The sequence below is a fragment of the Homo sapiens genome, chromosome 1 (assembly GCF_000001405.40).
Source record: "Homo sapiens chromosome 1, GRCh38.p14 Primary Assembly".
Classification (NCBI taxonomy): domain Eukaryota; kingdom Metazoa; phylum Chordata; class Mammalia; order Primates; family Hominidae; genus Homo; species Homo sapiens.
Genome location: NC_000001.11, coordinates 67,437,902 through 67,454,379, shown reverse-complemented (window position 1 = coordinate 67,454,379; position 16,478 = coordinate 67,437,902).

Genomic DNA, 16,478 nt, shown 5'->3' with positions numbered 1-16,478 from the left:
GGTGAAATCCCGTCTCTATCTTAAAAAACAATTTTTTTTAATTAAAAAAATAAGGAAGGCCCGTCTTAAAGAGCTTTTTTTTTTAATTTTTTCATTTTTTTTAAATTTATTTTTGAGATGGAGTCTCGCTCTGTTGCCCAGGCTGGAGTGCAGTGGTGTGATCTCAGCTCACTGCAAGCTCCGCCTCCTGGGTTCATGCCATTCTCCTGCCTCAGCCTCCCGAGTAGCTGGGACTACAGGTGCCCACCACCACGCCCACCTAATTTTTTTGTATTTTTAGTAGAGATGGGGTTTCACCGTGTTAGCCAGAATGGTCTCGATCTCCTGACTTCGTGATCTGCCCGTCTCGGCCTCCCAAAGTGCTGGGATTACAGGCGTGAGCCGCTGTGCCTGGCCCAAGAGCTTCTTTTTTTTAAAACCAGCATTTACTGATCACTGACTATGCGATAAGCAGGGAGTGGGCACTTTGACATCTGACATCATGGGTGTCTTTTCTTGCATCCCTCTTGTCATCTCTGAGATCCAGAAAGACAAAGAGGCAGGCAGAAAAGGAGATGACCTGAAAATTAAAGTCTGGGATCCAGACTGAAGCTGCTTAGGTAATTGTTTGACCTTGAAGGAGTTACTTAGCTTCTTTACACCGCAGTTTCCTCATTTAGAAAATGAGGCTAGACCTGTCTTTGAGCAAGTTGTAAGGGAGAATTAGGTCATGTCCATAAAATACTTGAGGTCTTTGGAAGAAAAGCATTTACAAACATATAAATGGCATAATTAATGTCATCATCACCATTATTATTGTTGATGATGGGGAATAGTTCAATGCACATGCCAACTTCAGAGTTGGGAATATTTGTTACAGAGAATGTGAACCTAAAGACTACTATGGATCATCTTTTTCCCACTCCATTTTCTACTGGATTAAAACATCCCACTGTCACAGAAGTATTCTTGTTCATAGAATTGGTGTTTTATAGCTGGCAACAAAATATGTGCCTACAAAGTCTCCTGACCCATCACCCTTCTTTTTCAAAATGATTCAGAGTCCCTTAGGAGTATCTTAGATGGAACCAGAAAGATTTTCACCTACTTAAAGCCTTATCTGTAATGCCATACTTTCTATGTTAATATTAACAACTAACACTGATAGAGCACCCAGTGCATTCCAGGTACTGTGCTAAGAATTCACCTGTGTTATCTCATTTAAATCTCATAACAACCTGATACACTCTTCACTCTCTCACTTTCGTTAGTCTCTACTCAAAGGGGAGGCTTTTCAGATCACTCTATATAAAAAAGTAACCTACCCCCTCACTTCCTTTCCTTTTTCCTGGCTTCCCCCCTCCCCCCATAGCAATAGTCACCATCTGACATATTTACATTTCTTGGCTTATTCTCTGTCTCTTCCATTGAAATGCGAGGTCTATACAGGTAGAATTTTGTTTGGTTAACTGGCTATCCCCATCATATAACACAGTGCCTGGCATATACTGGGTGCTCAAAAAATACATATATTTGTGAGTGAATTATTGGCCCTGTGAATTAGGTGTGATTATACCATTTATTGATGATCAAAAAGAGGCTTCAAGATGTGCCCATGGTCACTCGATAAGTGGCAAAGCCGGGAATGGAACATTTCTGATTATGGCCTGATCACCAACCACTGATCTCATGCCCCACTTCCTTCAGGGAAGAACACAAAGGTAATAATTTATTGCTGTGGGATGTTTCCATCAGAAGAGTCATGAAAGCAATAGAAATGAAATAAAGGCAAGTGTTGTGTCTAAAGCATCAGATAAACTGGAGGAAATAATTAGATTCTAGTAAGTGGCACTTTTCTCTCCTTCTAACATCTTTCACATCTAGAAAAGGTATCTCAGTCAATTTTCTTTTGAGGTTTAGCTAAGAAGACCTGTAATTTCAATTGCCTCAGGTGTCTCCCCTCTCTTGTCTAACTTCCATAACCTCTTCATCAGTTTGCTGGTGCCACAAGTTCCTATACGGAGAAAGAGGGAAATCACATTTATTATTTAATACACATCTCCACTGCATTAGGCATGCTACATTCTTTATCTGTACTACTCATTGATTTACTAGCAGCAGCTATTTTAAATTTTATAAATGAGAAAACAAAGTCTCAAAGAGATTAAATGTCTATTCCAAGGTGTCTCAGCCTGACTTCAAACCTCATGCTCTTTACCCGTGTAGATTACAGAAGACAGTAAAAGAGACTACTGGATTTGCCTATTGGGTAAACCCACTGGGATTTTCCTACTGGGATTCTGTTTCTTCTGCTAGGATATTGCTGACAAATGCCAGATCTTAAATATGATGATAGTCAAGATTGCAGGATTGCAACACCAGAGCAAAATGACAAGATTACTATCACCGTACATGAGTGAGCTATGTCACCACCATCTTCCACAACTTGTCCTCAGATGCTCTCATACATACAAAAAGAGCAGGGTCCAGGACTGGGCATTCTCTATTCCTGAGGCTTTATTCTCTCCAGGTAGAGAGCCTATGCTTAGAGAAGAAGGTCTTGATTAAAATAAGTTATCCTAGGACTATAGCAGAGTTGGGCCCTGAGAAAATGAATCTGACTCTGGAAAACAAAAGGGCAGGAGTATTGAGAGAAGGCAGCCTAAGACAGGAAAGGTGGTTAGGCTCCCCGGGAAGGACAGGAATTAGACCTGACACTTCCTCCTAATTCTCCACCTTCTTCCCCAACTCCTTTCCTAATTCCTCCCACCCACACCCCCTCTACCACTACACATATTCACTTTCTGTCCACCCTCCACCTACTTCCCACTCTCTCTACCCTGCCCCGCCATCCTGCATTCTTAAAGGACTCCCTCTAACAGAAACAGGCTTAGAGAGAAATACAAATACTTAATCAAGATAAGAAAAGCTGCCAAACCTCTCTGGAAACCTAGGAAATGGAGATTTAAAACAAAGCTAACAAACCTTAGAAGAGTTTTTAAACAGGGAAGGGATGTGGTCAGAACATTTTTTAAAATACACCTTTGTTCAACTTTAGATTTTAATGCAGCATATAATTCCTTGAATACATTTCAAAAAATGAATGATTCCATTTCATGTTTAAAAAAAATACACCAACAAATACACTGATGTTTTGGTATTTAAAAATACTGTGGTATTCTTGTATATGGAAAACTAGTTTTGCAATTACTTGTTATCTTTCTTCTTCCATATCTGAAGAACTTCTCTTAAACTTCTCTTACCTTGGGACTTATAGGACAAGCAAAGAAACAAAATGGTCACTAATGAAGAAGCAAACGACAGCACACACTCTAACAAGATCAATTTACACTTCATAAATATTAATTGAAATATGACGGTTGAGTATCCCTTGTCTGAAATGCTTGAGACCAGAAGAAGTGTTTTGGATTTCTGGTATTTTCAGATTTTGGAATATTTGGATATACACAATGAGGTATTTGGGAGATGGGACCCAAGTCTAAACATAAAATACATTTATTTATTTATTTATTTATTTATTTATTTTGAGACGGAGTTTTGCATTTTCACCCAGGCTGGAGTGCAGTGGCGCTCTCGGTTCGCTGCAACCTCCGCCTTCTGGTTTCAAGCGATTCTCCTGCCTCAGTCTCCGGAGTAGCTGGGATTACAGGCGTCCACTACCACGGCTGGTGAATTTTTGTATTTTTAGTAGAGACTGGGTTTCACCATGTTGGCTAGGCTGGTCTCGAACTCCTGACCTTATGATCCACCTGCCTCTGCCTCCCAAAGTGCTGGGATTACAGGTGTGAGCCACCGCACCTGGCCTGAAGTTTATTTATATTTCATATATACCTTATACATATTGCCTGAAGGTAATTTCATACAATATTTTTAATAATTTTGTATGAGACAAAGTTTGTGTATATTGAACCATCAGAAAGCAAAGGTGTCACTGTATCAGCTACCACATGGCATTATGTGCCTAATGAATCCTGTGGGATCCTAGTGATAAATTCTTCCTCTTTAGTAATTCCTCTTTAGTAATTCAGCACTCAAAAAGTTTCAGATTTTGGGACCCTTTAGATTTTGGATTTTCAAATTAGAAATGCTTAACCTGTGTGTAGATGTGCATGATTTTTTTTATTTTTTTTATTTTTTTAGTTTTTTCTTGAGATGGAGTCTCACTCTGTCACCCAGGCTGGAGTGCAGTGGTGCTATCTTGGCTCAATGCAACCTCTGCCTCCTGGGTCCAAGCGATTCTCCTGCCTCAGCCTCCCAAGCACCTGGGATTACAGGCACAAGCCATCATGCCCTGTTAATTTTTGTATTTTTAGTAGAGACTGGGTTTCGCCATGTTGGCCAGGCTAGTATCAAACTCCTGATCTTAGGTGATCCACCTGCCTTGGCCTCCCAAAGTGCTGGGATTACAGGCATGTGCCACTGCACCTGGCCTCATAAATGTTATTTAATAGAAAGCATACATTTAGAGTGGTACTAGGGTTAACTGCATAACTCAGAAATCTTTGAAAAGTTTTAAAAATTGAAAGTTGGTGGTTTTTTGTTTCATTTTGTTTTGTAACTCATTCTGTGGCAAGACCTAACATAACCTGAATTCATTTAGTAGCAAAACCTGAACTGAGCTCACGTGTCATGTGGCTATATATATTCTTTATTCACCACTTACTATGAGTATTCTAAATTTCACTGCAGAAATTACATTTGATTATGATTACAAGTCTGCTTTATTGGAGTGTTACATAATATACTTTACATGCACATATTAACTTTCCTAAATCTGAAAAATTCTTAATTCTGATAAACTCTGTCTCCAAAGGTTTTAGATAAGGAATTGAGGATCACCTTTCTCTCACCTCAGGTATTAACAGCTGCTTAAAATGTCAAAGATAGAAACTATCTTACAGCAGTAAGTCCAACATTGTCCCCTGTTTAAAGGGAGAAAACTAATGTCAATAGAGAAGGAACATACACAAATGGTTACTCATAAGGCTGGGGCCAGCATCCCCATGTCACATATCTGATTCTGGAGAAACTCAGCCAGGGAGTAGCACCTGTGGTGTCTTGACCTAAATCATCTATTTTCACTGTCATGATTCTGAGCCTGGCTTTCCCCTACCTTGTCTTAGAGGCTGAGAGAAGCCCAGGCCATGTATGGGTTTTGAAAATCTTGGTGGCCGGGCACGGTGGCTCATGGCTATAATCCCAGCACTTTGGGAGGCCAAGGCAGATGGATCAGTTGAGGTCAGGAGTTCGAGACCAGCCTGGGCAACGTGGTGAAACCCCATCTTTACTGAAAATACAAAAATTATCCAGGCGTGGTGGAGCATGCCTGTACTCCCAGCTACTCAGGAGGCCGAAGCAGGAGAATCGCTTGAACCCAGGAGGTGGAGGTTGCAGGGAGCCGAGATCACACCACTGCACTCCAGCCTGGGTGACAGAGTGAGACTCTGGCTTAAAAAAAGAGAAAGAAAAAGAAAATGTTAATTGATAACACATTACAGTGGTGGGGTCCAGTAATGAAACACAAGTTTAAAATTGCATAATGAACATGATTTTCTTTCAATTCTGTAAGTATATCACTAGGACAAATATATAATCTCATTTGAAAATAACATCAAAAAAAACCAAGAATTACCCCCTTTGACTGCCATGGGATGCATGCAGATGGCTGAGAGTTTGTGTTTTATAAAGTGGGAGAAGGGATTGTATAAGGGAAAGTGGAGACTGAGAATCCCTATCACCTCATTTATCAGTGAGTTCTTAGTTAAAATAATTTTAGCAAAGAATACAAATGGAGCACACAAACTGGAATTAGATTCCCTAAAGTCATCCATGCCTAAGAGCCCTTGGAAAGTCCGTAAGTGGGCGGGCACAGTGGTTCATGCCTGTAATCCCAGAACTTTGGGAAGCCAAAGTGGGCAGATCATTTGAGACCAAGAGTATGAGACCAGCCTGACCAACATGGCGAAACCCCATCTCTACCGAAAATCCAAAAATTAGCTGGGCATGGTGTGCATGCCTGTAATCCCAGCTACTCAGGAGGCTGAGGCAGGAGAATCGCTTGAACCCCGGGAGGAAGAGGTTGCAGTGAGCTGAGATCTTGCCACAGCACTCCAGCCTGGGTGGCAGAGTGAGACTCCAGCTCAAAAAAAAGTCCATAGGTATTCTCAAGATATCTGTACTTTATTTTTAAGACTCACTAAGTGATGTGTTAGCTTTTTTCTCCAGAATATTTGCCTCCCCAATATATGGACTATGATCCTTTTGTTTACCGTTTATGGTTTCACAATGTTACCCTTAAATCTCCTATGGTGCCTACACATTATCTTTGCACATAAGAGGTTCTCTGCAAATATTAGTTGCAGTGGAAGAATCCATTGTATCACTTTAGGTGAGAAAAGACAAAAGGGCTGGGCGCAGAGGCTCATGCCTGTAATCCCAACATTTTGGGAAGCTGAGGCAGGTGGATCACCTGAGGTCAGGAATTTGAGACCAGCCTGACCAACATGGCCAAACCCCATCTCTACTAAAAATACAAAATTAGCCGGGCATGGTGGCACATGCCTGTAATTCCAGCTACTTGGGAGGCTGAGGCAGGAGAGTCGCTTGAACCCAGGAGGTGGAGGTTGCAGTGAGCCGAGATCACGCCATTGCACTCCAGCCCAGGCAACAAGAGCGAAACTCCATCTCAAAAAAAAAAACAGAAAGAAAGAAAGAAAGAAAGAAAGAAAGAAAGAAAGAAAGAAAGAAAGAAAGAAAGAAAGAAAGAAAGAAAGAAAACACAATTAAAGATAGCAAGCATTGTGTACCATAAGGAAAAAAACAAGTGTACATGGGAGGGCTTTGGATGGGAAGCCCAGGCCACAGGGCTCTCCTGACAGTCCTGTGTCAAGCCTCCTGGCTATCCCTGGATTGTTCGCTTTCCTGTTTTAATGCTGATCTGCCAACTGCACAGAACTCTCACTTTCTGAGGGTACCAGGTTTGGTCCTTCAAGCATGGGCTTCCCCTATATGACATATTTCTGTTGCTGAATTCATATTATTCTTATGTTTTGGGTCTGGACATAATAATAATAAATCAGACCCACATATATCAGGAGCCAGGATTCTCCCTCCAGTGAAAATCCTTCCAAAGGCTCTGTGGCTCTTCTCTGCCCTCAAGATCAGGCTGTTAGGACCTCAGTGCCCAGAGTCTATTGAAAAAAAAAGGCTATCTCCTGTGCCAAGTGCTGCCCGGAAGACTCTCCTCTTACTCAAAAACCTTTTCCTCTGGTTATTTCCTGCCTTTCACTGTAATTGTCTCCCTGGCAGAGAAACCACCTGCCCTAATTCTCTGGGGGCTGAACATAGCCAACTGACCTCAGGTTTTCCATTTAACTACTTCATGCCTACCCTATATGATCTGTGGTAGAGAGAGGTTATGTAACTTGCCCAAGTTCTTACCCCTAGCAAATAGCAAAGCAATGACATCAAAATCCATACTCTAGTCCATTATGCTGGATAGACCAGGTAGTATACTTCTTCTGACTCTTACAAAGCATTGGCAACTGACTGTTGAATCAATTACAAATCACCTAACTTTACTATCCTGTGACCTATATCTCTCTCCTTTTCTCAAGGAATTCATGAAATGCTATGCTAAATGCCATTAATTCTTTATGAAATGTGCGGTGACTCCATCAAAGAAAAAAATACGTTTAATTTGTGGAGCAAGTATTTCTTGAATACCTACTTTGTCTACCATGATTTGTTCCTAATGAATCCATGTGGGATCCTAGTAATAAATTCTTCCTCTTTTAGTAATTCGAAAACTATTCCCTCAACATGCTGTTCCAGAATCTAGCCCAAGATGTACATTGAAGTAACTAAGCTATAGTTTGTAGATTCCAACATCTTCACCTCTTAGAGAATCAGACTATTTATGCATGCACAGGATGGTCTCCTTGATGCCTCAGAGAGATAACCAAAGTAGTTTACTCCATCATTTTTTTTTTCTGTTTTTTTAGATATGGGGTCTCTCTATGTTGCCCAGACTGGAATATAGTGGCTATTCACAGGGGTGATCGTGGTGCACTACAGCTTCAAACTCTGGGTTCAAGCCATCCTCCTGCCTCAGCATCTTGAGTAGCTGGGGCTATAAGCACACTCAACCATGCACAGCTGTTCACTTCCCCCTTTTTTTTTTCTTTTTTTTTTTTTTGAGCTGGAGTTTTACTCTGTCGTGCAGGCTGGAGTGCTGTGGCACAATCTCGGCTCACTGCAACCCCCGCCTCCCAGGTTCAAGCAATTCTCCTTCCTCAGCCTCCCAAGTAGCTGGGACCACAGGCATGCGCCACCAAGCCTGGCTAATTTTTTTTGTATTTTTATTAGGGATGGGGTTTTCCCCATGTCGGCCAGCCTGGTCTTGAACTCCTGACCTCAGGTGATCTGCCTGCCTCGACCTCCCAAAGTTCTGGGGTTACAGGCGTGAACCACCACCCCTGGCACACTCCCAATTGTTTTTGTTTGTTTGTTTGTTTTTGAGCCAGAGTTTCGCACTTTCACCCAGGCTGGAGTGAAGTGGCGCAATCTCGGCTCAGTGCAACCTCCACCCCCCGGGGTTCAAGTGATTCTCCTGCCTCAGCCTCCTGAGTAACTGGGATTATAGGCGCCTACCACCATGCCTAGCTAATTTTTGTATTTTTAGTAAAAATAGGGTTTCACCATGTTGGCCAGGCTAGTCTCGAACTCCTGACCTCAGGCATCCCAAAGTGCTGGGGTTACAGGCATGAGCCACCACACCTGGCGCACTCCCACATTTTTAACTTCTTTCTATTGCACCAAAAAATCTATTGCAGAGTACAACTTTATTCATACTTTGACTTTTATTTTTAATGGTAATGTCTCATCCTTAGCTATTTCTGAGGAAGGTATATAGCCTGCCTTCCTCTCCTAGGGTCTGCCCAAATGGGAATCTCTCTGATTCCAGGAAGGTCTTACTTCTGGATCTGAGATTTATGTGTTTCATTGTGTAAAATCAACCTCATTGTATGTATTTGAGCATAGGGTCCCTTCATGGACTCACTGCTTTTAGCATTTTTCTGATTAGGACTACCAGCATCTGTCTTGTAGCAATGTTATGATTATCTATTGCACCATAACAAATCACCCCAAAACTTATTGTATTAAAATAACAGTTTATAATTGTCTCTCATGGTTCTACAGGTTGACTGGGAATTCTTTTTATTTTTTCTTTTATTTATTTATTTTGAGACGGAGTCTTGCTCTGTCACCCGGGCTGGAGTGCATTGGCACGATCTCGGCTCGCTGCAACCTCTGCCTCCCAGGTTCAAGCGATTCTCCTGCCTCAGCCTCCTGAGTAGCTGGGATTACAGGCACCCACCACCATGCCCAGCTAATTTTTGAATTTTTTTTTTTTTTTTGAGACAGAGTCTCTCTCTGTCGCCCAGGCTGGAGTACATTGGCACGATCTCGGCTCGCTGCAACCTCCACCTCCCAGGTTCACGCCATTCTCCTGCCTCAGCCTCCCCAGTAGCTGGGATTACAGGCGCCCACCACCACGCCCAGTTAATTTTTGTATTTTTTTTTTTTGAGACAGAGTCTCGCTCTGTTGCCCAGGCTGGAGTGCAGTGGCACCATCTCGGCTCACTGTAAGCTCCACCTCCCAGGTTCACGCCATTCTCCTGCCTCAGCCTCCCAAGTAGCTAGGAATACAGGCGCACGCCACCACGCCCAGCTAATTTTTTGTATTTTTAGTAGAGACGGGATTTCACCGTGTTAGCCAGGATGGTCTCAATCTCCTGACCTTGTGATCTGCCCACCTCGGCCCAAAGTGCTGGGATTACAGGGGTGAGCCACCTCACCCGGCCCTTAATTTTTGTATTTTTAGTAGAGACGGGGTTTCACCATGTTGGCCAGGTTGCTTTCAAACTCCTGGCCTCAGGTGATCCACCCGCCTCGGCCTCCCAAAGTGCTGGGATTACAGGCGTGAGCCACCGTGCCCAGCCCAGAACTTCTTAGAGTCTTTTGACTTGTTGTGGTCAATGTCTACTAAAGCCAGGGTTGCTTTGTGACAGGTAACCTGTGCAGTCACATAGGGCCCCATGCTTAGAAGGGGCCTCATGCTTGGTTCAATGCTGTGCTGTTGCTGTCTTGAATCCTTAATACTTTTAGTTATTTCGTTGTTGTTGGTTGGTTTTGTTTTTAATTTAAATGTTTAAAAATAATTATTACCTGGGAGCAGGGACATGGGCATGGCCTGCAGCAGCCTCACCCACTCCCACTCAATCTTATTTTTTGAACATGGGGCCCCAAATTTTCTTTTCTTTTTCTTTTTTTTTTTTTGAGCCCCAAATCTTTGTTTTGCACTGGTCCCTGCAAGTTATGGAGCTAGTCCTTGCTGAGGCTGCGGTCATCTGAAGGCTTGGCTAGACTGGACATCCAAGATGCCTCACTCACAGGCTGGCACTTGATGCTGGCTGTTGATGCAGAGTTACACTAAGGCTGTCACCTGGAGTCCCCACATCTAACTTCTCTGTTTGGTCTGAACTTCTCAAAGAGAGTATCTCAAAAGCAAGTGTCTCAAGAGATCCAAGCATGGACATACTTCCTATTACTCTACTTCAGGAGACCCAGAGCATCACTTGCAACACATTCTATCGGTCAAGCAAGAGATTAAGAGCAGCATAGATTCAAGGGTAAGGGAATTAGACTTCACCTCTTTTATTTATTTATTTATTATTTTTTATTTTTTTGAGATGGAGTCTTGCTCTGTTGCCCAGGCTGGAGTGTAGTGGCGTGATCTCAGCTCACTGCAACTTCTGCCTCCCGGGTTCAGGCGATTGTCCTGCCTCAGCCTCCCGAGCAGCTAGGATTATAGGCGCCTTCCACCATGCAAGGCTAATTTTTGTATTTTTAGTAGAGACAGGGTTTCACCATGCTGGCCAAGCTGGTCTCGAACTCCTGACCTCAGGTGATCCACCCACCTCGGCCTCCCAAAGTGCTGAGATTACAGGCATGAGCCACTGCACCCAGACTCTTTTTTTTTTATTTAATTGACAAATAAAAACTATATGTTTTAATCATATACAAACATGTTGTTTTGAAATAGGTACACATTGTGGTATGGTTAAATTGAGCTAATTAATATATGCATTGCCTCACATACCCATAGACTCCACCTCTGAATTGGGGAGTTGCAAGATCACATTGCAGAAGAGCATGTGGGCTGAGACATATCTGTGTTCATCTTTGGAAAACACATTCTGCTGCAGGGATATTTGGGGTGCCTCATTGCTTTGATTGGGTGCTCTGCCTCTTTCAGGTTTCCCTGCAAGCCCTACCCTATTGGTAGGCGTTCATTACCATGTGTGGATGAATAAGGCAGCTTCAGTGTATGAACCCTATCTTTTGGCTTATTTCTAGTAGGATTAAAGATAGGTCCTCAAAACAAGTATGTGCCTATGAGAAGTGTGCTTAAGGAGGACTCTGATCTCAACATAGTGTCAGGGGATACTGAAACAAATGACTTTTTGAGCCCTTGTTACAGGTTCATGTTCAGTAAAAATATTGAGCTTTTCTAGATTACACTGCTAAATCTTTAAGATTTCAGCTCTAAGACCTTATAGGGGAGACAAAAGAAAGCTTGGAGTTTGACAATCCTAGAGATAAATCTCAGTTTTACCATTTACTAGGTAGGTAAGCCTCTGAGAGCCTCCATTTCCTTATTTATAAAGTAGGATTAATGATACTCCCATATGGGCCATTGTGATGATTAAGTGGGAATAGTGGGCTGGACACGGTGTCTCACGCCTGTAATCCCAGCACTTTGGGAGGCCGAGGCAGACGGATTACTTGAGGTCAGGAGTTCAAGACCAGCCTGGCCAATGTGGTGAAACCCCATCCCTACTGAAAACACAAAAATTAGCCAGGCATGGTGGCACATGCGTGTAATCCCAGCTACTCAGGATGCTGAGGCAGGAAAATCCCTTGAACCCAGGAGGTGGAGGTTTCAGTGAGCCGAGATTGTGCCATTTTACTCCAGCCTGGACAACAAGAGCGAAACTCAGTCTCAAAAAAAAAAAAAAAACAGTGGAATAACGTATCAGGTGCTTGAAAGATAATAGGTGCTATGATATTAATAAGTATACCACTTGTTCTTGATTCTTGATTTCTAGGGCAAAAAAAACATGGGAAGTACAAGTGAAGGGAAGGAAAGAGAACTGTACAAGGGAAGTACAGTTCATTTTAGGTTTCTTTTGCCCTGGAAATTCATGGTCGAGTTATTAAACACACCCAGATTCTCTGGGGTGATTTATGAGCATAGACATAATGAAAATAAACTCAGACCAACAAAGTCTAAAAGCCTCCATACTAGGAGCTATAAGATGAGGCATTGGTTTCCACTTACAAATGTTGAGAGTTAGTGAAACTAGTAGTGGTAACTAACATATACTGAGCAGGGTACTTAAATGTGTTAGTAACTTTTGATTTGATTCTCACCACAACTCTGTGAGGTGGGTACTGTTTTACTCTTAATTTTAAAGCTGAAGAAATAGTAGTTTGGTGAGAATCAGCCATTCGCACAAAATTTCCAAGGTGGTTTAAGTAGTGGGCCAGGATCCAAACTGAGGTCTCTCTGGCCCCTGGGCCTGTGCTTTCTCCATCCTGAGATATGGCTTTCCAAAATCTGCAGGCCTCTCCATCCTGAGATATGGCCTTCAGATTTTTGAATCCTCTGCACGTAACCTGAAATCCTAGGCTCTTGCTTAGTGACTGATTTAGGCGCTTAAGGCCCTAATATTTTACCATCAACTTTGGTTGTAGGATCTCGTTGGGACAGAGTTCCTGAAACCATCTGATTTTCAGGCTGTTGGTGTAAATTTCCCTGGAGAGTTACCTAGTGGTGAGCCAGTCCCTCCAGCATATGTCTGGGTAGCTTTCAGTAAGGCCTCTGACATTTGGCATTTTTCCTGGCAGGCAGCCAAGGGACTGAGTATTTCTCTGTTTTCTTTTACTTTCATCCTTAACCGTTTTCTTCTCAAACAAAAAGGAACTCAAGGATTTTACCAGCGCATTTTAAAAAGTTGTTTGTGAGGGAAAGTTTGTAGCTGGAGGGGAAAGGAGGGAAAAAGATGATTGAGAGAAAGGTGAAAACAGGCTCTTGAAATTGTTCACAGAATTTAGAATGCTCTTGAGCTAGGAAGGTTCTGTCTAATTTAAAACGTTACTTAGATTCCTCAAAAGAGAGGTGTTCTCTAAGTATAAATATATGATCAGACACTCTCAGGAGCTGTGGAGAATCCCTAAAGTTATTGTTTATTTGTGTTGTCCCCAACATTTCCTTTTAGCAAACATTTACAATGGCCTTGTCTTTCCTAATGTTAAATTCCCAAACTTGTGGAAAAGTAGTAGAAGTGGTTTAAATTTGGATACTTTCTCTTCTTGCTTCTACTCATTTGGAAAAGGTGCTGGCAGCTATTCATAAACCACTGATATGATCATTTGGATCTGGTCCCCCTTTCCAAGGGGAAAAACTTTTTCCTTCTTATTTTTTGAGCACTTAACTGCATGCCCTGCCCTGTTTTAAGTGTTGTACATGTGTTAACTCATTGAATCCTCAGTCCTAAGAGATCCCGAATAACTATATTCCCATTTAATGGTTAAGAAAACTGAGGCTTATAGAGGCTAACAAATGTGCCCTAGGTCCCATGGCTATGAAGTAAGGTGATGGTTTGATGGGAGAGCATTTATTCTATAGCAACACATAGAAACAGGTTCATACAGCCCCCAGATCAAAGCCAGGCTCTGCCACCTCCGAGAATGATCAGCCAACTCACATTTTGAACCATTGCCAAGAATATCCATGACATTACTCCTATGAGAAATGAAGTGCATTCCAATTCCTAATACATCTTCTTTCCTCCTCTCATAAATGGTCTCACAACTTCTACTTCTGTCAAAGTAGGAAAGGATTCTATTTATTCATTTCTTCGTTTGACAAGCACTTACAGACACACAGGCAATAGGGCGTAATGTTAGGAGAGCAGGTACTGGAACCAGACTGCTTCCTTTGAATGGTGGTTTTGCCAATTACTTGCTCAAGTTCATACAGCTTGTTGTTTAACCTTTCTGTGCCTCAGATCCCATGGTAACATGGATTAATGATGACACTAACCTCACATAGGTATTATTATTTTAAATGAGTTAATCCATACGAAACACTTAAAACACTGCCTAGCACATAGTAAATCCTCAATAAGCATGAGGTATCATCAAACAGATATTTAGGAAATAGAAGTATACTAAGCATGAGGAAACAAAAGGACTCATAATCCAGTAGGAAGTACTGGATATTCATTCCTTCAATAGATATTTTTATGAGCTAAGCACTAGGCCCTAGGAGTATGACAGCTAAACAAAATACCCCACTACAAATATTTACAAACTACTAGAAGAGGTAAATAGAGGAACAAACAATGACAACGCAGTGTGATAAATTCTGCAAGTAGGGTGGAAGTAGGTAATGTTAGAGCACGTGTGGGCCATGAGGTTTAGGAATCAGGAGGAGGCATCTCAGAGGAAGGGAGCCCAAGGTGAGACCTGATGGATGAGAAGAAATTTGCAACATGAATCACTAGAACAGAATGTGAATTATAATGTATGTAAAGGGCACGGAGCATGTGCCTGTGCATGGGGCACATGCAGAAGCAGGAAGAGGTAGAGCAAGTAATCCTGTATGGCTTGAGGTACATGGGGCAGTGGTAGGAAGAGAATGAGGAGGCTGGAAGGAAAATGGCACCAGCTTGTCAAAGGCCTGCGGTGCTTTGTAGAGGAGTTTGGACTTGATCCTTATGTAATGGGAGCCATGGAATGCTTTACCTCTAGCAAAGATATGATCAGATAATCCAGACCAGAGGAATGCTGGAGTCAGGGCTCCAGTTACAGTAACCCCTGGTGAGAAATAAAGGCCTGCAGTGGTTTGCTGGCCATTGGAATGGAGAAGTTTGAGAGATAAGACGAAGAAGAATTATTAGAATGTGATGACTGATTAGAGCAGAGTGGAAGCGCAGTAGTATCTTACACTGCTTTCACAGGTTGTATCCTTCTAGCCATTATGGGTACTTTGTTGAAAAAGTCTGAGAAATACTGATAGCATAATGGAAAGTGCATGAGCTTTTGGAGCTCCTTGCAATTGAATTCAAATCCAGTCTCTACTATTTGTTGGTTTCAGGATTAGTATGGCTAATAAACCTTCATCATAGTTTGTTAGGATTCGTAATATATTAATAATACATGTAGAGTGCCTAGTATAGTGCCTAGCACATAGTAAACACTCAGTACATGATAGTTGTGAGTGTTGTGGGATTAGAAAATATAAAATGGACCAGGCACAGTGGCTCATGCCTCTAATCCTAGTATTTTGGGAGGCCAAGGTGGGTGGATCACTTGAGGCCAGGAGTTCAAGAGCCGCCTGGCCAACATGGCAAAACCCATCTCTACTAAAAATACAAACATTAGCCGGGTGTGTTGGAGGGTGCCTGTAATCCCAGCTACTTGGGAGGCTGAGGCAGGAGAATCACTTGAACCTGGGAGGCGGAGGTTGCAGTGAGCCAAGATCGCGCCACTGCACTCCAGCCTGGGGGAAAGAGCGAGATTCCGTCTCAAAAAAAATAAAAATAAAAATAAAAAAGAAAAGAAAACAGAACACGGTCAGAGGTTAATACTAAACAGCAGTGGTTCTTAGTCTTTTGAATGTCTTACACACTTTTATTTAAAAAAAAAACCTTTATTGAGATATAATTCACATATCATACAATTTACCCACTTAAACTTTACAATTCAATGCTATTTAATATATTCACAATGTTGTGCAACCATCACTACAATCTAATTTTAGAACATTTTCATCAACCCTAAAAGAAACCATTAGCAATCACTAGCTGTTCTTCCCCATGGCCCCTCCACAGCCCTAGATAAGCCCTATCTACTTTCTGTCTCTGTCAATTTGCTCTTAGATCCTTTTCATGATCTGATGAAAGTAAATTCTACTCTGGAAATATGAACAAATTTTGCATGCAATTTCTAGGAAGTCAGAGATCCCAGATTCAAATATACAAAGGAATATCCTTCATAAACTCAAACCCATTCTCTACAAAGTTGGCAATAAAGGGAGATTCTCCTAGTGGTGGTGCTGGACAGCAGGACCTCGTGACCCTCACTCCTGTATCTCTGTTTGACCTATGATCTCTGTGTACACACACGATTTACTCCAAAATTTCTACAGATAATCTTCACTATGAATGCCAGTCCTGGAGGCTCCATCTCTATTAAGCTTACCATTTGTTTCCTCTGGAAGCAGTAAAAACCTAAGAGATTCAAGCCAGCAATCAAGAGCAATATCTCTGGGGATTAGTCAAAGCTACTGAGATAATGGCTACCATTTATTAGGTGCTTACTATGGCTGAGTGTTGTGCTTAGAA